This window comes from Homo sapiens, chromosome 1 (assembly GCF_000001405.40).
Source record: "Homo sapiens chromosome 1, GRCh38.p14 Primary Assembly".
NCBI lineage: Eukaryota > Metazoa > Chordata > Mammalia > Primates > Hominidae > Homo > Homo sapiens.
Window position 1 is genome coordinate 152,796,534 of NC_000001.11, and position 22,997 is coordinate 152,819,530.

Below are 22,997 nucleotides of genomic sequence, written 5' to 3' on the forward strand. Positions count from 1 at the left end.
AGGCACTTTCCTACCTGGGAGTGGCTGCCTTGAGCCTGGGGAGAGAGGCAGGTGAGGAGCTGTCAGTCACCAACCATCACAAGACCCACGTGGGTGTCAGAAGGAAGGTCCTCTCATGCCCAGGCCCTGTCTCACAGCTGGGGCAGAGCCCAGGCCAGGATAAAAGGGCTCAGGGCCAGACCACCCCATCCACTCACCTCCTGAGGTGCTAAAGAACCCTGTGCTGCCTGTGACTCCGGTAAGAACAGAGCAGGGATGCTCAGAACAGAGCAGGAGGGAAGGAGGGGCAGGGCCTCCGGGGCTAGGGCCATGTTGTCAGAGGTGGAGAGTTTAGAAAAGACTGAAGGGGCGGGGGCCAAAAGGGGTCTGGCACTAACTGGGAGCAGGAAGGAAAAGAGGAAAAGAGCTGGCGGGCTGTGCCATGTGCCTTTGAACTCTAGAGGAAACAAACTGCTCTGGGATGAGGTGGGTGTTCCAGAGTGGGAACTTTGAAGCACAGAGACCTGCTCCACTCTGGCAGCCCACAGGAGGGAAGCCCACCTCTGAAGATACAACCCTGTCTCTGCCTGCAAGGGAAGAACTGGAGCTGTGGACATGGGACTAAAGACTCTTTGGGGTTTATGAACCCCACATTTTCATGGGTCTGAGATTTGTTCACAAACTTCCCAGCTTGGTTAGGACACACCAAGCCTGAGACCCACCGTGTCATCCCATCAGCCTGAGCAGGTGGTGAGTGAGGAAGTCTGAGCTCCAACCTGAGATCAGGGGGTCAGGGTTCAAGTACTAGTCTGCAGAAACTGCTAAGTTTATCTGTCTCTATTGAAGTGAGTTTACTGACCTAGTAGTCTCCAAGATCCTGCACAATGCTGACCTTCCAAAGTAAAATCGTCTTGCAAATTATGACCAGAGAGAATGACTGCTTCTTCTCCTTTAAAAATAATTTTCTCTTAAATGACTCATAAATTAGACAATTTCAGTCTTAAGATATATTTGTAATAATTTCTTCCTCCACTGACAACACATCAGAATCTTAGATGCATTTTGCAATATTGTTTAGTCTTAGTTTACAGTTGTCTGACATCCAAAGATATCTTGAAAAAGATGATGTGAGATTTTGAGGAAATTATTGGAAATAAAACTACTGAAGATGATGCTTTTAAACTTGAGAGGTGCTAAGAGTGTCACAGGGGCAGAGGTGGCCTCTGCCTGGGTCTGACTTGTTATTTGACTCTCCCTCAGCTCCTGAACACCCACCACCGAGATGTCCTGCCAGCAGAGCCAGCAGCAGTGCCAGCCCCCTCCCAAGTGCACTCCCAAGTGCACTCCCAAGTGCCCCGCCCCTAAATGTCCCCCTAAGTGCCCTCCAGTCTCTTCCTGCTGCAGTGTCAGCTCCGGAGGCTGCTGTGGCTCCAGCTCTGGGGGCGGCTGTGGCTCCAACTCTGGGGGCTGCTGCAGCTCTGGGGGTGGTGGCTGCTGCCTGAGCCACCACAGGCGCCACAGGTCCCACCGTCGCAGACCCCAGAGCTCTGACTGCTGCAGCCAGCCCTCGGGGGGCTCCAGCTGCTGCGGTGGGGGCAGCAGCCAGCACTCTGGAGGCTGCTGCTGAAGTGGACCTTGACTTCCTCTTCCTTCTGATTCTGCCTGAATAGCTGAGAGGTTCCAGCAAAAGCTTGAAGTCTTGCCTGGAGAATCCCTCTGCTCTGGTGTCAGGAAACCCAAAATCTTTCTCCTTAATGGCATTTAGAGACTTTCTTCTGCAGATCCATGGCTGCCCTGGGAACTCCAAAGCACACACCTACTTCCTCCCCAGCTCACGCTACTGTATTCTGTGCTGCCTGAACTGAAGAAATAAAATCCAGAATCTGCTCCCCAATTTGCTACCAGCCTGCTTGATTTTCCTGTTTGTGTCATCCTTGTTCTGCTCCCCTGTGTCTGCTGGTGGCTGCTGAGGCCTTGGTGGACAGAGGATGGGGAAGGGGTCAGGAGGAAAAAGCTTGCATTTCTGTGTGTTTTGTGTTTTTTCTTCTTTCTGTGTTTTCCTTTTAAACCAAGGGACTGAAATAGCATTGAGAAATATTTTTCTTTCAAATTCTGGTTCCTTTCACCTATGTAACCGCATCCCTCAGGCATGGCCAGGAGGCCGACTTCATCCTCCTTCTCACTGTCACCTCTTCACTCTTGTGTTCCTCGTTCCCCACTCCTTCCACTAACAATCTCCCCGGACTCCTCCTTCAGATTGTATGTACACGTAGTAGACATATAAATATATGTGTGTGTACATGTATATATATACACACATATTTATATATACTCACATTATATGGAATAAATCTTTAGTTTTTAAACTTAAATCACTTTTATTGATCTATAACTTTCACACAATAAAACCCCTTTTTAAAATAAACAATTCAATTAGTTTTACCAAATGTATACACTCTTTTGTAACCACAATTGCAAGGAACACTCTAAAAATGTAGTTGATTATTTATTAATCATTATTTGCAGTAAGGTTTAAAAATAGGCTATAAGTTTATGGATTTACTTCTGGATTTTCTATTTTTTTTTTTGGTTCATACATCTGTTTTTATGCCAGCACTATACTGTTTTGGTTAGTATAACTTTGTAGTATAATTTGAAATCAGGTAGTATGATGCCTCCAGCTTTATTCTTTTTTACTCAGGAGCACTTTCGCTATTTGGAGTCTTCTATGGTTCCATAAAAATGTTAAGCCTTTTTTTTCTGTTGTATTAGTCAGGGTTCTCCAGAGGGACAGAACTAATAGGATATATGTATATATGAAAGGAAGTTTATTAGGGAGAATTGGCTCTCGTGGTATTTCAACAGAGATTGCATTGAACCTGTAGACCACTTTGAATACTGTAGACTTTTTAACAATATTAATTCTTCCAGTTCATGAGCCTGAGACATCTTTCCATTTGTTTGTGTCTTCTTCTATTTCTTCATCAATGCTTTTAGCTTTCATTGTAGTTCTTTCACTTCTTTGGTTAAATTTATTTCTGGCTATTTTATTTTTGTGGCTATTATAAATGAGATTGTTTTCTTGATTTCTTTTTCAGATTGATTTCTATAAGTGTATAGAAACACTACTGATTTTTGTATGTTGATTTTGTATCCTGCCACTTTACTAAATTTGTCATTTCTAAGAGTTTCTTGGTGGAGTCTTTAGTTTTTCTAAATCTAATATCATGTTATCTGCAAAAAGGATAATTTGACTTCTTCCTTTGAAATCTGGATGCCACTTATCTCTTTTCCTTGGCTAATTACTCCGGTTAGGACTTCTACCATATGTTGAATTAAAGTGGTGAAAGTGGGCATCCTTGTCCTATTTCATACTTAGTAGAAAGCCTCTCCATTTTTCTTCATTCCGTATAGTATTAGGTGTGGGTTTTATCATGTTGAGGTATGTTCCTTCTACATGCAATGTCTTGAAGGTTTTTAACCACCAAGAGATGTTGAATTTTATTGAATGCTTTTTCAGCCTCTATTGACAAAACTTAAGCTAGACCAAGAAAAAAAGAGAGAAGCCCCAGAAAAATGAAATCAGGTAAAAAATGAAACATAATAACTTGTATCACAGCAATATAAAGGATAATTAGAGACTGTTATGAACAACTGTACACCAACAAATTGGAAAACCTGGAAAAAAATAGATAAATTACTGGACAACCTACTGAGATTGAACCATAAAGAAATAGAGAACCTGAACAGACCAATAATGAGTAATGAGATTAAAGCAGTAATAAAAAGTTTCCCATCAAGAAAAAGCTCCAGACCTGATAGATTCCTTACTGGAGTCTACCAAACATTTAAAGAAGAGCTAATTCTGATTCTACTCAAACTATTTCAAAAAACTGAAGAACACCAAATACTTCTAAACTCATTCTACAAGGCCAGAATCACACTGATACCAAACCAAACAGACACAATAGAAAAAGAAAACTACAGACCAATATCTCTGATGAATATAGATGCAGAAATCCTCAACAAAATACTAGCAAACAGAATTCAATACTACCCTGAAAAGATTATTCACCATGATCAAGTGGGATTCATCCCAGAAATGCAAGAATGGTTCAACATATGCAAATAAATAGACATAATGCATCACATCAGCAGAATCAAGGATTGTCTTCTTTTTTAAGGCTGAATAATATTCCTTCTGCTATATAGTATATATATTCAGAATTTTTAAAATTCATTCATCCACTGACAGAAATTTAGGTTGTTTCCAGATCTTGGTTATTGCTAATAATGCCGAAATAATGCTGGGAGTACAGATATCTCTGGAAAATACTGATTTTATTTCCAGAAGTGGAGTTAGCAGATCATGAGGTAGTTTTATTTTCTATACTTTTAGGAAATTCCATACGGTTTTACATAATGGCTGTACCAATTTATATTTCCACCAACAGTGTACAAGAATTCCCTTTTTGCCACATCCTTGCCAACACGTTATATTTCATCCTTCTGATAATAGCCACTTTAACAGGCATGAAGCGATATCTCATTGTGGTTCAGATTTGCATTTCCCTGATGATTAGTGAGATTGAGAAACTTTTTCTGTATACCTGTTGGACATTTGTATGTCTGAGAAATAGCTATTCAGTCTTTTGCTCGTTTTTAAATTGGGTTGTTTGGTTGTTGCCATTCAGTTGTATGAGTTCCTTCATGTATAATTATTAAGAGTTTGTCAAGATGAGAAAGCAAAACAAGATCACCAGTTTCCTTGGTGCTGGCTCTGATGCACAGAGATAAAAATATAACTCTGCTTAAAGTATTATATTTCCAGTTAGATCTCAATAATGTTTCCTTCCATCCCATGTTATGATAAAATGTTGATGATGTAAAAGATAAATGCCTTGACCCTCAGAAAAGTCAGTGCTTTGCTGATCAACATGTCTGTATTGACCTGATAGCTAGGCTGTGATTTCTCAAAGCCAAGACTTAATTTCCAGTCTTCCTGATACAACTATGTTGCTGACTCATCACCTACATCTGAGTTACGTCAGTTGAGGGCTTGGGGTTGCCCTGCATGAAGGCAGAGGCATGGACCAGATGGCATCCCAGACCCATCATCCTAGATACCAGGAGTTGAACTTCTGAGTATACCTGCCATTGTGACAACCTGGGAACCAATGTCCTGACCACTGCCCCATTACTAAGCCTTTTGGAACAATCTGAGCAGGAGAACAAATGTCATACCCAAGAAAGACGGTGTCAGACCTCTCAAGGTGATGTGGCTCACACACCTCACTGAGCCTGTCTCAGAGTGTGTCTCCTATAAGGATGGCCTGAGTCATAAGGAATAGCTGTTTATAAACTGTAAAGTCAATGCTGTTACCAATGAGAGGATTTAAAAGTCATTAAATATCCATTGTGTGCATAGCTCTGTGTTGAATATTGAGGTAAAGAAATATAAAACACTCAAGGCAGGCCATCAAATAATTTACTATTATCTCATTAGAGTGATATGCCACAGGAAGGGAAAAAAAAAGTGGGATTGAGCCACGCTGTCCTGGAAGGGCAGAGACCATGGCTTGCATCACAGAGAGAAGCATAATCAAAGTACAAAAAAATAATCCAGTTCAGCTTCAGGTCATTTCTGAGAGTACATGACAAAGGCTTAAATGCGAGGGAGCACACAAAGTCTTATTTCACTGCAGGAATTTGGACATTTACCCTTAAACAGTGTGCAGTCCTGAACAAGACTTTACTAATGATTGAGTGTTAATTATTTATGGAGATGAGAGAGTCTTTTCCTGAATCTCACACTGGAACAGTATCAAGGAGGCCCTTTTATCCTGGTCTTGGGCTGTGCTCCTGATGGGTGAGGCAGCACCTGGGCATAAGAGGACCTTACAACATGGGTTGTATGACCAGGTGATAACCAGCAGCTTCTCACCTGCCTCCCTCCACAGGAGATCAGAATAGCTCCCATCAGTGCCACCTCATTTTTCTTGGAGCTGCCTTAGGCCTTTTTCTTGGAGTTTGGCCTCCCAAGTCCTCTTTTTCTATATCCCTGATGGTATCATTTAAACCAAAATTTTACAGAAGTCTTTTAATGTCCCTGATGTGTCCCAGATTCTGTGTGTGTGTGTGTGTGTACGCATGTGTGTGTAAATACATGTCTATGCCATCACAGTTACAAGCCTGGTAGGAGTCAGACATATCTGGGACAGAATCCTGGTTCTGTCACTTATTAGCTGTGTGACTTCTGAAAATCCCAAATTATCTCATCCTCCGTTTCCTGAAATTTAAAATGAAGATAATAAAGATTAGTCTCCAGGATGTCGTGAGGATCAATGAAATTGTAGAAAGAAAATGCACATTAAAGTTCCTGTAACACAGTGAACCCTCATATGAAACACCTGTCTATCAATAATTTTAAAGGGAATGAACACTTTTTGAGATGGTCCAAGTCTCGGGCACTATGTGGAGTGAAGGAAAAGAGTTCCCTAGTGGAGGAGGCTGGAAGACCTGAAAAAATAGGAGGACTTGAAATACAATGGGAAACTTTTAGTGTTATTGCTTTGTTTCAACATGAACAAAAGTTTTTGTCTGAAGGTCTATTTAAAAACATTTTTAGGAGATTAAGATTTACTAATGTCAATTTGGTATATAACAGGTGTTCCTTTTGTATCTTGAGGAAAATATTATTTAAAAAGTAAAAGAACTAATTAGATGAAAGCAAATTAGACTAGGGAGTAATCATGTGAAAAAGTTCTCTTTTCAGGAAGTGTCCAAAACAATTCTCCAGAACGTGTGATGAGGTAGAAATGGCCACAATAATACCAATATCCAGGTCATAATGGGTATAGAGAATCAATATCTGAGATATGTATATGAACATAGGCATAGATAGATATAGAAGTAGATTATATAGATATGGATATATAATCGGCCTTGTTCTATTATTACAGTATCATATATCTCAAGATGCATGGCCTTCCCTGAAGTTACAATGCCTTACTTCTCTAGGGTTTCTCCATGATTCTAATTTTCACTGGAATCTGAAAATGATCTTTCCACACCATCCCGCACTCCAGAAATAATTACCCCTGACCATTAAGAAAATCTCATCCAGAGCTCTGCACTGTGTTCAGGATCAAGGTCAATGTCCATTGAGTGACATTCAAGGCTCTGTGCATAAGACCCTGTACAATTCCTCTAATTTATGCTTTGCTAAGCAGGACTGCCTATTAGCTATACTTTGAAGATGTCTCTTCCTACTTTACCTCTATGTTTTATTCCAATATTTTTTTTTCTCTCTGAGACACTGCAGTTCAAATCTCACTTGCTCCATTTTCCTTTTTTTTTTTTTTGACATACCTCATGAATCAGGTTTTAACAAAACTTTGGACAGCACAATTTGTGACTTATATTGTGTAGTCCCCATCAGCTACTAGTACAAGGTCATGGCCACATGGGTGGTTAAAACTTTTTAAATCCTGTCAGCAGCATTAGTGCTGGGGTTTCATGGAAGGTATGAATGGTAAGACTTAGAAAAGAAGTTGGAAACACTTTCTGTTAAGTCTTAAATGTAATACTTAAGAAGCACATGCATTTTTCTATAGAGAGTCATGGGCAAGTTGAGAAATATGGTACAGGGAGTGTGTTCTGGAATAAAGTGTAGATAATTTAATGAAGATGGAGAAGGAAGAAAGCAACAAGATTTGATGGAAGGTTAATAGAAAAGCAATTTTTACTTGCAAATGTGCCTGGAACTAAACTTATTGCAGAAGTAGTCAGTGGGAAAACTGTATTTTCAAAATATATTCATGGGTTTTGTTCTTTTTTATTTCATTTGTTTACTTATTATATTTTTCTTTTTTTATCCATTTATATACATGCATGTGTGTGCATGTTTGTGTGTGCACCTGGAGATGTGCAGAAGTGTGTGTTTTTGCATGTGATGTGTGTGAGGGAGGAAGGATATTGGTGGGGCTAGGTCAGGAGGAGCAGACTGCACTCACAGAGAAAGAGAAGCTTGGAGAGACTGGTCAAGCCCTTGAAAGGGACCAGAAACAAAGAAGCTATGTTTATAAGAGACAGTTCAGACTTGGTCAGAAGCAATGCTGCTTCAGGCCAGTTGACATAGGACAGACAGAGTTGGGAGCAATGGTCCCTTCCCACTCCTGCCCCCATTAACCCCAATTCACTCCAGAGTGCCCCACTGTCCCCTGAGGTTCCAAGGCCACCAACTGCAGAGGACAAGGTGAAGAGAACAAGAGCCACTCAAGGAGAATAGGGTCCTCATAGAACAAGACACTGAGCAGATTCCTTGTTTTAGTCCTTTAATCAGCAGATGCACGCTGCAAATGACATTGAGTAAGCTAGGGGCTTAGACAGAGCGTGGGAGGGTAGCCACAAAGGTGAGGTCCAAGGCCAGTGAATGGAGATCCAGGAGAGGATCTGAGTTTCTGGACTCCAGGGAAAAGATATGCTCTTGGCAAGTTCAGAGCTTTCCCTTGGACCTGTGAGCCTCTCAGGCAGGCCTAGTAGGAGAAGGGGGATGTCCTTGGCAGTTTGCGGTCCTGGATTCTGCTCTTCTAGGCTCAGGGTCCACTTCAGCAGCAGCCTCCAGAGTGCTGGCCACTCCCCCCGCCACAGCAGCTGGAGCCCCCCGAGGGCTGGCTGCAGCAGCCAGAGCTCTGGGGTCTGTGGCAGTGGGACCTACGGCGCCTGTGGTGGCTCAGGCAGCAGCCACCTCCCCCAGAACTGCAGCATCCCCCAGAGCTGGAGCCACAGCTGCCCCCAGAGCTGGAGCCACAGCAGCCTCCGGAGCTGACACTGCAGCAGGAAGAGACAGGAGGGCACTTAGGGGGACACTTTGGGGGACACTTTGGGGTGGGGCACTTGGGAGGGCACTTGGGGGTGCACTTGGGAGGGGGCTGGCACTGCTGCTGGCTCTGCTGGCAGGACATCTTGGTGGCGGATTCAGGAGCTGAAAGAGAGTCAAACAGCAAGTCAGACCTAGGCAGAGGCCACCCCTGCCTATTCTTGTCCTTTCCACATTGTTTCTATTTCCTTTATTTTGATGAACTGTTCAAATGTCATGGTAAATCATTAATCACTGAAAATTTTGTTGTTTCTTGTAGTTTGGCAAATGCTCTCACACTGTATCTTTTGAGTTCACAATTTCATCTTAAGACAGTCAAGAATTACTATATCTTTTACAAAGAAGGAAACTGAGGCAGTAAGCCATATGAAAAAATATCTGTCAAGATTAAACATTTAGTAAATTAAAGGAAGCAGTTTTTCTCATTGTGTCAAATAAAACCCTGAAACTGTCCAGTGTGGAAACCTGGGGATATAAACATTTTCTTGGAAAAAGATAATGAAGGATTATCTCTTGGAGTAACTTCCTAGGAGACTTTGTCTTGTAAAAACCTGCGCATGTACAATTGTAAATGGTTTTGGAGACAGGCTGGTCTCACAGGCTCCCTTTGTTAAGGAAGATGCTGGAGAACAGTATTTTTGGTGCATAGAGGGGATCTGAACTCAGGTGCCCTGGCTCTAGGCTGGTGCACTGCCATATTCATCACGCAACGGCCTCACAGTAACATGTTGGCACAGTGATCCTCAGCTTGCTATGTCTAACTACTTTAAGAGATTCTCAATTCCAATTTGAATCTAGAGATAAGTGAGTTTCAAAAAGCCCTAAAAGATCCATTAATTATCTCTACTCCACTGATTGAGAACTACTATCTCCAGCTCAAATTTGCAAGGAGTGTCACAGTTTTGCTCTGAAAAGTAAGTGTCCTATTTGAAGTTGTTCTAGCAGAGTCTATTTGCCTGGGCTTCAACTCCCTCTGTCCTTAAAACTCAACTAGCTGAAGCACAAAGACAGAGACATCTAATTCTTATTTGTGTTACCAGTTGGCCCTCTCCCTGCCTCCTGAGCACATCCTCCTTCAATCTTTCTGAGGTCTTGACTTCTATCCAGATGGATCTCAGCCCTCAAGGTCCTGCCCAGCCTCCCCTCCTGCCTAGGGCTGAGCAACACTCTGTGGAAGCCCCAGCAACTATTCTCAAAGAACACTTACCGGGGTCACAGGCAGCACAGGGTCCTTCAGCACCTCGGGAGGTGAGTGGATGGAGTGCTCAGGCCCAGAGCCCTTTTATCCTGGCCTGGGCTCTGCCTCCAGCTGTGAGACAGGGCCTGGGCATGAGAGGACCTGCCTTCTGACACCCACATGGGTTCTGAGGTGGGTGGTGACTGGCAGCTCCTCACTTGCCTTCCTCCATGGGGCTCAGAAAAGCTGCTCCCAGCTTGGACTATGGCCACTTAGAAATAGAAATGGAGTGGGAAAATCCCTACCATCATTTCCTGTGTTGTTCTCCGTGGAGAATACCTAATCTGTTTAGTCTTGGAGCTTGAGTTCTCTGTTTTGTTAACTCCCAAATCTTACCTCTGTGGCTCTGGGCAACCTGGCTTAACTCAAGTTTCATAGAATCCTCCAACCCTCAACTATCTTATAGTTGTGTGTGTGTGTGTGTGTGAGTGTGAGAGAGAGAGAGAGAGTGTGTGTGTGTGTGTGTGTGTGTGTGTGCGTGTGCTTCTGTATTAAAGCCATTAGGTAACTGGTTAAAGAGTCAGACATAGAGAGAAACCTGATTCTGCCACTTATTACCTGCATGACCTTATGAAAAGCATTAATACCTCATCGTTCTTGTTCTCAGTTTGTCAACTCTGTAATAGAGATAATATAAAAACAATTGTCCAGGGATGGCTGAGAGTCAATGAAATAATGCAAAGGAAGTTTCTGGTGGAGAGCTTATAACATGTCATTTTCTCTAAACAAATGCCAATGCATTAATATTTTTAAATTATAGCTGCTTTCTAAGGAGAGATAATAGCCTCCAGCTCCATCCATGTTTCTTCAAAGGACATGATCTTATTCTTTTTTATGGCTGCATACTATTCCATGGTATATGTGTACCACATTTTCTTTATCTAGTCTACCATTGATGGGTATTTGGGTTGATTCCATGTCTTTGCTATTGTGAATAGTGCTGGAGTGAACATACACATTCATATGTCATTATGATAGAACAATTTATATTCATTTGGATAACGCTCCTTCTTCAACATCCAGGCTTTATTCCGTGACCTATGCATTTCTAAAACAGTGCCATTCAACTGTAACTTCTTTATGAGTCTTAATTTTCAAATATGACTACAGTAAACTATCCTTGATTCTGCAGCTTTGTTCTTATATTTATGTACCCCTCAACAGTTTCTACAACAGAGGTGGACTCCATAGGTAAGCAATTTAAAAATGAATTGATTACTATTAGCATCATCTTTACTTTGTGTATGACTTAAGCCATCATCATTGGAATTCTCACTCTGAGACATTTACATTACAGTATACTAGCCTTATCACCCTGCAGAAGTCTGCCACTGAATTACCTGGCTATGGCTCATGTTGTTCCAAAGAATGTATTTAATAATAGAGTAGTCAAGATATTGATTACTCAGCTTACATTGGCAGTTCTGATCCAGAAGCCCAGCCCATTCATTCCAAGGATGATGAGGATTAGAAGCTATTCTGTCCATGACTCTGATACCACAAAGGGTAGCACCCAAACTGTCAATTAATCTGACATGGATTGGGTTAATAAGGTAGCAATATGATGTAACATCATGAGGATTGTTTCCTTATGTTTGGTGTTAGATTTCAATAGCATTTGAAATTTATTGAATTTGGTACCATTTTAATGCTAACAATATGCACTAGCAAAGGAGTGATTTTCTGAAAATACATTTCTATGTTGTCAGGCTCTCATATCACAAGAGATTGGTGGGAAGAATGCTGAGACACAGTAAAAATTAACTTAGACTTAGTGGATTTTACTCTGTGTCCCAGAGCCAGCACCACACATGACTGATTTTTAATTTGCTTCCTTCCTCTGCAACCCCTGCATAGAGCAGTAACAATAAACTGATACTCCAAAATTATTAGAAGAATATACAGACTATCTAATTATTTCTTTATAAGTAATTGGATAAAATATTTAAGCATGAAAAAACTTGATAAATCTCATCACATAGTGAAAGGAATACTATATGTCAGAAAGCACAATTTTAAAGGATGAAAAATATAAATAACCAGCTGAGAAAAAGTAAAGTATGTAAGTCAGGAATAGTATTAAAATCTATGATAAATAGTAAGTCCTTACAACTTTATAGAAAAGAAATAAGCCTATCTACAAATGAATGGGCAAAGTGCATGAACAAACAGATAGCTTGGAAAGAAATACATGACCAATACATTTTGAAATTTGTTATTTCATATTTGCATATACAAATAACCAAAGACTAGTATATAAAACAAGGATGGTCTTTCAAGGATGAGGTCTGAGTCTGCCACTGAATTGCCTGGCTGTGGCTCATGTTGTTCCAAACAATGTATTTAATACGAGAGTAGTGAAGACATTGGTTACTCAGCTTACATTAGTAGTTCTGATCTAGAAGCACAGCCCGTCCATTTCAAGGATGATAAGGATTAGAAGATATTCCTTTATATTGAACTAGAAGAAACTTAAAATCAATAACAAAACAGTATTACTGAAGGTGATAGGAAATGGATCTTATAAATTGGCATAATAATGAAAATTAAGATGACATTTGGTGACCCATTACTCAACAAATAATAATTTTCTGTATACAAATCAAAATTTTAAATGTGCATACTTTTTATCCAACAGTTGTACTTTCAAGAATTTAACTTAAGGAGAAAAAACTTTAAGAAAGAAGATATATAGACAAGAATGATTACTATAGAAATTAAAATAATATTAAGAGTTCGAAAAGTTGCAAGATGTAAGAATAAATTTACATTAACCAGCAACAAATAATTCAAAAATATAATTTTTAAAATTGCCATTTAAAATAGCAAAAATACATAAAGTCTAAAATACAATTTTAATGTAAAATATATTTGATAAAATGAGAAGACTATTAAACAGCATTACAGAATACCATAATAAAGAGATATACCATATTTATGGGTGAGTAGAAAAAAATTATAATAAAATAAAATAATTCTTCATAAATTAATGCATATTCTCAATGATGTTTTCATCAAAATTCTAATAATGATTTGTTTTGCTTCATCTTCATTGTGTAGGATGTGACAAACTGGCTCTAATGTTTATATAAAATGACAAAGGTTTAATAATCACCAAGACAATCTTAAGGAATGATGAAACCTGTGTGATTTAGATACCGCAATTGATTATACACCTATGGTAATTAAGGCAGCAGGATGTTCTCAGAGGTGTTGACAAATTGGCAATGACAAGAATTGTTCACCCAATTATAAATCTACGGAAATGTGAAAAATTGATTCTGACCCATAGGTATTTCAGATGAGTGGGGGAAAATGGAAAATTTGATTACAATACTAAGACAATTGGTTATCCATTCAGAAAAATGTTTAAAATATATAAAATGTACAAAAATTCCTTTCTTGATTGAATAAAAACCTTCATTTTTAAAAAGAAAAAATTTTCAACTTTTTAAAGATAGGGAAAAGATTTCTAAACTTACAAATGGTTGAGATTTATTAAAATCATGAAAATTGCAAACAATATAGTTATTGTTGCAGAAATTCAACTATGTTAAAAATAAAACACTAGTTCATCAAATGACACCATTAAAATGCAAACAAGAACATATTTGTTTGGAAAAGATATTCACAACACATTTAATAGCAGTACATTAGTAACTAGAATATGTAAAGAACATTTACAAATACTAACAAAAGGAGATAAACAAATTGAAAAACATTTTCGAGAAAAAGCAGACAAGTCACAGAAGGGAAACCTCAATTAACCAAAAATACATTAAAAGATGCTGTGATCACTACAAAGCAGAGGAACACATATTAAACTACCGACAGATACCAGTGCACATCCATCGAATGGCAATTATTGAAGTTTAGGAACAATGTGCAGCAAGAATGATTCTTATACACCATAGGTGCAAACTGAAATCAGTATGAGCAATTTGGAGAGATGGGTGTGATCCAAAATTCAACAGTTCCACTTATAGGTACATAACTTGGTGAGACTCTCCCACAAATACACAAGTAGACACGCACAAAAATTTCCTTAGCTGCAATATTGATTCAGTGAAAAGTGAAAACACTCTAAATGTCTATCCAAAAGAGAGAAGCTAACAAATCATGATGCACTCATAAGATGGATACTACACCGTTGTAAAAATGAGTAAACTATGGCTATACAGATCAACTTGAGTAACTAGCAAAAACAATGTTTAAGGAAGAGAACAAGTCAAAAATGAGTGTCTTAAGTATGATGCCATTTCTATAGAGTTAAAACCATGTAATCCATAGTGTATATTGTATCAGGGTAACCTGTACAGAATAAAATTGGAAGGAATATATTACAATTTGGTTTGAACCAGGTTGCATGGGCTCATTAACACCGGGGAGGCAAGAAGGGCAGTATTAGGGCCAAAACTTCAAAGCTCCAAGAATGAGAAGTGAGAACCTTAAAAGCAGGTGCCCTTCAGGCAGATCAAGGCAGGAGATGATGGTAGGGATTTCCCCACCCCACCTCTATTTCTAAGTGGCCATATTCCATACTGGCAGCAGCTCTCCTGAATACCCACGAAGGCAGACATGTGCAGAGCTGCCAGTTACCACCTGTCACGGGACCTATGTGGGTGTCAGGAGGCAAGTCCTCTCATGCCCAGGCCCTGTCTCACTGCTGGAGGAAGAGCCCAAAGGACAGGATAAAAGGGCTCAGGGCCAGAGCACTCCAACCACTCACCTCCTGTGCTGCTTGTGACCTCAGTAAGTGTTCCCTGGGTACTGAAGCAGGGGCTTCCACAAAGGGATGCCTAGATCAGGGCAGGAGGGGAGGGCAGGCAGAGCCTCCAGGGCTGGGGTGGTGCTGGTATCCATATGAGTGAAGGAGGGAGCCTCAAGAAAACTGAGCAAAGGCAATGGGGACAGACCAGGGACATGAGAATGAGGAGTCCTGTGATGGTGACTTGGTGTTCTGGAGAAATGAGATGGATCTAGAGTTCTTGGGTCTCTAGTCTGAAGGCATTGCAACATTGCCTGCCATGTTCACCTGTAACTGCTTTCAGAAAGGGAGATTTACCTTGAAAAATATAATTGTCCTTTCCTGAAAAGATGAGATGGAAACAGTGGTTCCCAGCCAGTGTAGAGGATATCACAGCTAACCGACTCTCTTAAACTCACATTTAATGGTATTTAACTTGGTGAGACAAGTACGGTAGACAAACAAAATATAAGTGCTGAGCATTCAGTACAGGTGTTTGTCTGCTGAAAAATGTCAGAGCACTGGACTAAGTCAGAAACCTGTATACAATTCTCACTTAATTCAATGATATTTTTCCTCCAACTTCCTTTGCAGTTCTGAACTTCTATGTCCTTACAACAAGGTAATCTAGAAAATTCTTCCAAGAGAGAATGACTGTTTCCCCTTGAGAAACAATTTTATTTCCAAACCCCTTTCTAGATTGTTTTCATGATTCAGGTGTGTAGTTGAAGCAGAATGTCTCCTCTACATACTACATGCTTGATTTTGAGAATACTTTCTTAATATCTTTTGGCTTCGGTTTTCTAATTATAAAATAGTTGAAAATGCTTTATGATTTTATAAGTATATAAAAAGCATTAGGTTCAAAACAGAGGCTATAAGTGTGTTTAGCCAACTATTAGACACAATGAAACTTCCCGTGATTAATTAGCTACAACTACACTAAGCAGTTCATCAAAATGTAGGGATTAGAAATGATGCTGAAAGGGCAAGAATAGGCCGGGGTGGCCTCTACCTGGGTCTAACTTGCTGTCTGACTCTCTCTCAGCTCCTGAACACCCGCACCAAGATGTCCTGCCAGCAGAACCAGCAGCAGTGCCAGCCCCCTCCCAAGTGCATCCCCAAGTGCCCTCCCAAGTGCCTCACCCCTAGATGCCCCCCAAAGTGTCCCCCTAAGTGTCCTCCAGTCTCTTCCTGCTGCAGTGTCAGCTCCGGAGGCTGCTGTGGCTCCAGCTCTGGGGGAAGCTGTGGCTCCAGCTCTGGGGGTTGCTGCAGTTCTGGGGGAGGTGGCTGCTGCCTGAGCCACCACAGGCGCCGTAGGTCCCACTGCCACAGACCCCAGAGCTCTGGCTGCTGCAGCCAGCCCTCCGGGGGCTCCAGCTGCTGTGGAGGAGGGAGTGGCCAGCACTCTGGAGGCTGCTGCTAAAGTGGATCCTGAGCCTAGAAGAACACAAATGGCCAAATATTTCCCTTCCGTCTTCCTTCTCCTTCTGGGCCTGCCCATGTTGTTGAGAGGTCTTGGTGAGGGCTCAACTCAAGCATAGAGGATTCTTCTGTCTTGGAGTTCAGAGGCCCAAAACTTCTCCCCCAAAGCCAAGCCATTTAATGACCTCAGTTTGCGTATGTGTGGTTGCTCTGGGAAGCCCAAAGCACAGACCTATATCCCTTTGCAGCTTGTCTTTTTGCATAGCTCAGCCTGATGTGAAACAATAAAACCAGAAATATGCATTCCTTTTTGCCTTGACTGATTGTTATTTTTTCATTGCTTTTCATACTCTGTCCTCATCTCCAGGCTCTCCCAAGATGTTAGTATCTACAGACCTTGTTCAAATTTAGCCAATCTTCCTACTAATATCCTTTATAACAAAAGACAATTTTGTTGGTTCAAAATCCAATCCAGGATCTCCATTGCCTTGACATAGTTGCCATGATTCTTCAGTCTCCTCCAAACCGAAATGGCTCTTCAGTCTTTCTTTGTCTTCCTTGACATTGACCTTTTTAAAGAACTATTGGTTTTGTAGAATGCCCCTCAATTTGGGTTTCTCTGATGTTTCTTCTTGACCAGGCTCAGATTACACATTTTTGCAAATATCCTACAAAAGTGATGTTGTCCTTAGAGCATGATATCAAGCCTTACATGATGTCTAATTGTCCCATTCCTGGAGATACAACTTTGACCACTTGATCTGCCAGCTTTCTCTATTGCAAATTTAATATTTATTCCTTTGAATTAAAAACTTATGAAGGAGAGAATAGTTAAACTTCTTTTTTGAGTTGGAGTCTCACTGTCGCTCAGGCTGCAGTGCAGTGGCACCATCTCGGCTCATTGCAACAACCACTTCCTGGGTTGAAGCATTTCTACTGCCTCAGCCTCCCAGGTAGCTGGGATTTCAGGTGTGTGCCACCACGCCCAGCTACTTTTTGTATTTTTAGTAGAGATGGGGTTTCACCATGTTGGCCAGGTTGGTCTTGAACTCCTGACTTCAAGTTATTTGCCCACCTCAGCCTTCCAAAGTGCTAGGATTACAGACGTGAGCCACAGCCCCCAGCCTAAACATCTATTTTGTTTCAAACATTTTCCCAAAACTTTTTTAGTATAATTGATGTTCTTTTACAAAACTGTTATTATTATTATAGTGTTGCTGGTATTGTTGAGTATAGTTTTTTAAAATATATTTATCTCATACCCTGAGTCTATGTACATATGTAAAGCAAAGAGAGGTGGTGAGGATGGGTCCTGAGCAAAATCAGCAATGTCCTGCAACACAACTACTTGAAGGAAGGCCATTACAATTTCTTCTTGTTGAACTCTTATTATATCTAATTTCCTGTGATGACCATCCTTATCCATTTATCTCTCCTACATTATAACTCTACTTTCAGGTAAATTCCTATAACACAATGTTTTTGTGTAAAAAGATTTGCTTATTATAAATTTAAACTCATTACACCTCAATAAGTATCAAATTGCTATCCAGAATTGTTATGCCAATTCACATTGCCATCTCAAAATATGTTTATTACCAACTGTCACATACTATTTTGTTAGTCATTAAAATAATTGTCATTTTGAAATAAGTAAATAAATCTGTTAGTCTCCTTTCTCAAATTCAAGATATTTCTTTTTTATTTTGTTTGCATTTGTTTGAATATCAGTAAAGTTGAACATGTTTTTTGAAATTTTTTTTGTTTGCTTGTTTTAAATGGAGTTTCACTCTTTTGCCCAGGCTGGAGTGAAGTGGCACAATCTCGGCTCACTGCAACCTCAGCCCCCTGGGTTCAAGCGATTCTCCCACCTCAGCGTCCCAAGTGGCTGGGATTACAGGTACCTGCCACCATGCCCTGCTAATTTTTGTATTTTTGGTAGAGATGGGGTTTCACCATGTTGGCCAGGCGGTTCTCGAACTCCTGACCTCAGGTGATCCACCCACCTCAGCCTCCCAAAGTGCTAGGATTACAGGTGTGAGCTACTGTGCCCAGCCTTTTTGAATTTTATTTGCCATTGTATTTGCAAAAATATGTACATATGTGATGGTTAATTTTATGTGTCAACTTGGCTAGGCTATGGTTCCTAGATCTTGCTCTAGCACCATTCACCAGTCTAAATGTTGTTGTGAACATGTTTTTTTTTTAGATGCGACTAATATTTAAATCAGCAGAGTTTGAGTAAAGCAGATTGCCCTCCATAATATGGGCAGGCCTCAACCAATCAGTCAAAGGTCTTAAGAGAAAAGACTGATATCCAGAGACGGAAAAAATATTCTGCCTCCAGGAACAAGGAATGCTTATACACTCTTGGTGGGAGTGTAAATTAGTTCTGCCATTGTGGAACACAGTGTGGCAATTTCTCAAAGACCAGCAATTACCATTCAACCCGGCCATCCCATTGCTATGTACATACCCAAAGAAACATAAACTATTCCATTATAAAAACACATGCACATGTATGTTCATTGCAACACTACTCACAATAGCAAAGACACGGAATCATCCTAAATGTCCATCAATGATAGACTGGATTAAGAAAATGTGGTGCCTATATACCATGGAATACTATGCAGCTGTAAAAAAGGATGAGATCATGTCCTTTGCAGGGACATGGATGGAGCTGGAGGCCATTATCCTTAGCAAACTAACACAGGAACAGAAAAACAAACACTGCATGTTCTCACTTATAAGTGGGAGCTAAATGATGAGAACACGTGGACACATAGAGGGCCTGTCAGAGGGTGGAGGGTGGGAGAAGGGAGAGGATCAGGAAAAATAACTAGTGGGTATTAGGCTTAGTACCTTGGTGATGAAATAATATGTACAACAAACCCCCATGGCGTAAGTGTACCTATGTAACAAACCTGCACTTGTACCCCTAAACTGAAAATAAAAAGTTAAAACAAAATCTGCCCTCAGAATGATTTTGGACTTGAGACTGCAACATCAGCTCTCCCCTGAATCTGCATCCTGCCATCCTTCCTTACAAATTTTGGTTTTTCCATCCCTGATAGTCACTTGAACCAATGCTGCAAAATAGTCCTCTTTCTCTCTTTCTTGCTCACACTTACTTTACCAAAACATAACAGAATCTAAAGGAATAGAATCTTAAGGACAAGTTTTCTGAATGAGTTCTGGGATTTCTGGAATTTGTTTTCTAGCCTAACTAGATTTAAATGCACTAATGAACCCTATTTCCCATAGTGAAGAGAACACTGATAGTAAATGTGGCTATAGGGATTTGCAAAATATCACTATTGGATGTTTCTAATCAAATGCTTATAAGAGACAAGGTTTTGAGTGGCTATGGATTTGCTACCTGTGAATACTTTTGTCAAACTAATGAATATAAAGAGATTGGCTGGTTTCTCCTCATTGTGTTAAGTGAGATGGGAGAAGAAAATGATGAGGTCCAGGATTTGAATCCTCAGTTTGTGCACCACATAAATAACCATGCAGCACATAAATAACCTGAAAGTTTCTATGTCTATTCTGAAAGAAACCCTTATCTTCTGTAGTCTCAGAGCTGAGACTGCTAAAAACTAAACCCAAAATCTTTTCAGTGAATGACTGAATTACAATGCCAATTAAATTTCCAAATTCTCAGCATGTCTACAGTTAAAGTGAGGCCACTGATTAAGAAGAAATGGGGGCCTGGCACAGTAGCTCATGCCTGTAATCCCAGCACTTTGGGAGGCGGAGGTCGGTGGATCACTTGAGGTCAGGAGTTCGAGACCAGCCTGGACAACATAGTGAGACCCTGTCTCTACTAAAAAAAAAAAATACGAAAATTAGCCTGGCATTGTGGCACACGCCTGTAATCCCAGCTACTCTAGAGGCGGAGGCTGGAGAAACACTTGAACCCAGGAGGCAGAGGTTGCCGTGAGCCAAGATCTCACCACTGCACTCCAGCCTGGGTGACAGAGTGAGACTCTGTCTCAAAAAAAAAAAAAAAAAAAGAAGAAGAAGAAGAAATGGGACCCTGAAAATTGGAATGAGGACCAATGAGAAAATCCTGATGACCATGGAAACACTATACCTCTGAGTTTGGTTTGGTTGAGTCTTCTTTGCCAGTAGAAGCAGCCTTTCTACACCCACTTGAGGAGGCTGACCCTGATTTTCCTAAGAAAACTGTAATGGGCTCCTGTGAGGCAGTTGCCTTGAAAGACAATGATGATTCTTCTCAGGACCCCTCCCTATCACCTCATTTTGCTTCTAGAGTGAAGTCCCAGCAGGTCCCCAATGGTGAGGTACAACATGTGACCCATGACAAGGGAGCACTACACTCCAAAAGAACTACAGTGTTTACAGACAGACATTTAGGGAATACATGTGGGAATGGATATTAAGAGTGTGGAACAATTGTGGAAAGAATAAAAGATTGGATGAGGCTGAACTGATTGCAGAGATTCTAGGCAATGTTACAGTTCGGGGAGTAAGAAAAGGCCCTAAGAGTTTGTTTGGTTGGCTGGTCAAAACATGGACTGAAAGGTGGCCTAGTGTGTGTGACCTAGAAATGACAGGCCTGCCTTGCTTTGCTGCAGAGGAAGAGATTCAGAGCATTAGGGAGATTGGAATATTAGAATGAATTTGTCATGAAATGACAAATCACCCACCGTGGAAGGTCCAAATGATTCACCTTTCATCACAATTGTGAAACATATGTTTGTGAGGCGAGGCTCAGCATCCTTGAAGAGCTCTAAAAAGCTTAGATTGGCCGGGCGTGGTGGCTCATGCCTGTAAGCCTAGCACTTTGGGAGGCCGAGGTGGGCAGATCACAATGTCAGGAGATCAAGACCATCCTGGCTAACACAATGAAACCCCGTCTCTACTAAAAATGCAAAAACTTAGCCAGGCATGGTGGCACACACCTGTAATCCCAGTTACTCAGGAGGCTGAGGCAGGAGAATTGCTTGAACCCGGAAGGCAGAGGTTGTAGTGAGCCGAGATTGCGACACTGCACTCCAGCCTGGGTGACAGAGAGAGACTCTGTCAAAAAAAAAAAAAAAAAAAAAAATCTCTAACATTTAAGTCTTTAATCCACCTTGAATTAATTTTTGTATAAGGTGTAAGCAAGGGATCCAGTTTCAGCTTTCCGCATATGGCTAGCCAGTTTTCCCAGCACCATTTATTAAATAGGGAATCCTTTCCCCATTTCTTATTTTGTCAGGATTGTCAAAGATCAGATAGTTGTAGATATGAGAAGGTAGCCATCTGTAAGCCAGAAAAGGAGCTCTCATCAGAAAACAAATCGACTGGCACCTTGACCTTGGTGGCTTCCCAACCTCCAGAACTACTAGAAATAAATTTCTATTATTTAAGCCACCTAATTTATAGTATTTTGTTATGACAGCTCGAGCAGACTAATACACTGAATTATTACAAGCCTAGCCAGGGGGTGACTCCATTTACAGATGTACTAGATGTGGTATTTCCTTGAGCAAATTAGCATATCCCCTATTATGCAGCTATTGATCTGGATTTTTTTTCTTCTTACCTATTAGTAATGACTACCAGAATCAGGTTGTTTTCAGCTGGCAAGGGCAGCAATACAACTTCACTGTCTTACCTGCCACCATGGCCACTTTGTTCATGAGCTCATTGGGAAATGACAGGAGAGGCTGGGCAAAGAGTCTGACTGGTATCCACAGAATAGGTTATCCTATCCACTTATTTATTAAAGTCTCTGCTAAGGTTATTGTTTAGTAAACATTCATATGGAACACAAATATCTTACATTTTTTGCTCATTTAAAGAGCTCTCTGCACATACCCCTTCCCCTATTCTCCTTGAGTAGCTATTGTTCTCCTCACCCTGTCCTCTGCAGGTGGTGGCCTTGGAACTTCAGGGGCCAGTGGGACACACTGGCTTGAATTGGGGTCAATGAGGGCAGGAGTGGGAAGGGACTTCCAACGCTGTTTGTCCTATGTCAATTGGCCTGAAGCAGCATTGCTTGTGACCAAGTCTGAAATGTCTTTTGTAAACACAGCTTCTTTGCCTCTGGTCCCCTTCAAGGCCCTGACTGGTCTCTCCATGCTCCTCTCCCTCTGTGAGCGCCACCTTCTCCTCCTCACCTAGCTCCACCCAACATCCTTCCTCCCTCACACATGTATGCACATACACACACATCACATGCAAATACACACACTTCCACACAAGTACAGGTGCACACGCACGCATGCACACATGGATGCATGCATATGGAAGAAAAAAGAAAAGAAAAATAGATTAATAAAATAGAAAGCAAAAAACAGAAATATATTTTGAAAATACAGTTTTCCCACTAACTACTTCTGAAATCAGTTTAGTTCGAGGCATATCTTTGTGTAAAAATTGCACTTGTATTAACCTTCCATTAAATGTCTCTTTCTTCCTCTTCCATCTCCATTAAATTCTCTGCACTTTTTTCCAGAACACATTCCCTATACCACATGTCTGAAATTGTCACTCTACTTCCTCAAAACAGAGGCTTTCTATAGAAAAATGCATGTGCTTCTTAAGTATTACATTTGAGACTCAGCAGGAATTGTTTCCAACTTCTTTTCTAAGGTTTACCATTCATACTTCCCATGACACCCCATGTTCTTGCCGCACTGAGCAACTCATAACTTACACTTGTATATATTCATCCTTTTTTTTCTGAGAAGCTGTAAGTAGAATTTACT

At 40.7% G+C, this 22,997-nt stretch overlaps 3 protein-coding genes across 4 annotated transcripts; 2 read left to right on the forward strand and 1 right to left on the reverse strand.

Annotated features, from left to right (window-relative positions):
* Positions 1-187: 187 nt before the first annotated feature.
* LCE1D (late cornified envelope 1D) lies at positions 188-1,648 on the forward strand. The gene is made up of 2 exons (NM_178352.3): positions 188-238; positions 1,240-1,648. Exon 2 carries the CDS (start codon positions 1,262-1,264, stop codon positions 1,604-1,606), a length of 345 nt encoding a protein of 114 aa, NP_848129.1. The 5' UTR covers positions 188-238; positions 1,240-1,261; the 3' UTR covers positions 1,607-1,648.
* A 6,650-nt stretch (positions 1,649-8,298) lies between these two features.
* LCE1C (late cornified envelope 1C) lies at positions 8,299-10,118 on the reverse strand. Of its 2 annotated transcripts, NM_001276331.2 has the most exons (3): positions 10,068-10,118; positions 8,902-8,965; positions 8,299-8,811 (listed from the first exon to the last, which is right to left on the reverse strand). In NM_001276331.2, exons 2-3 carry the CDS (start codon positions 8,943-8,945, stop codon positions 8,589-8,591), a joined length of 267 nt encoding a protein of 88 aa, NP_001263260.1. In that variant the 5' UTR covers positions 8,946-8,965; positions 10,068-10,118; the 3' UTR covers positions 8,299-8,588. The 2 variants fall into 2 exon arrangements, with proteins under 2 accessions (NP_001263260.1, NP_848128.1); NM_178351.4 differs by having other exon boundaries at positions 8,299-8,965.
* Positions 10,119-15,437: 5,319 nt separating this feature from the next.
* Positions 15,438-16,575, forward strand: LCE1B (late cornified envelope 1B). The gene has a single exon (NM_178349.2). It carries the CDS (start codon positions 15,914-15,916, stop codon positions 16,268-16,270), a length of 357 nt encoding a protein of 118 aa, NP_848126.1. The 5' UTR covers positions 15,438-15,913; the 3' UTR covers positions 16,271-16,575.
* Positions 16,576-22,997: the final 6,422 nt, after the last annotated feature.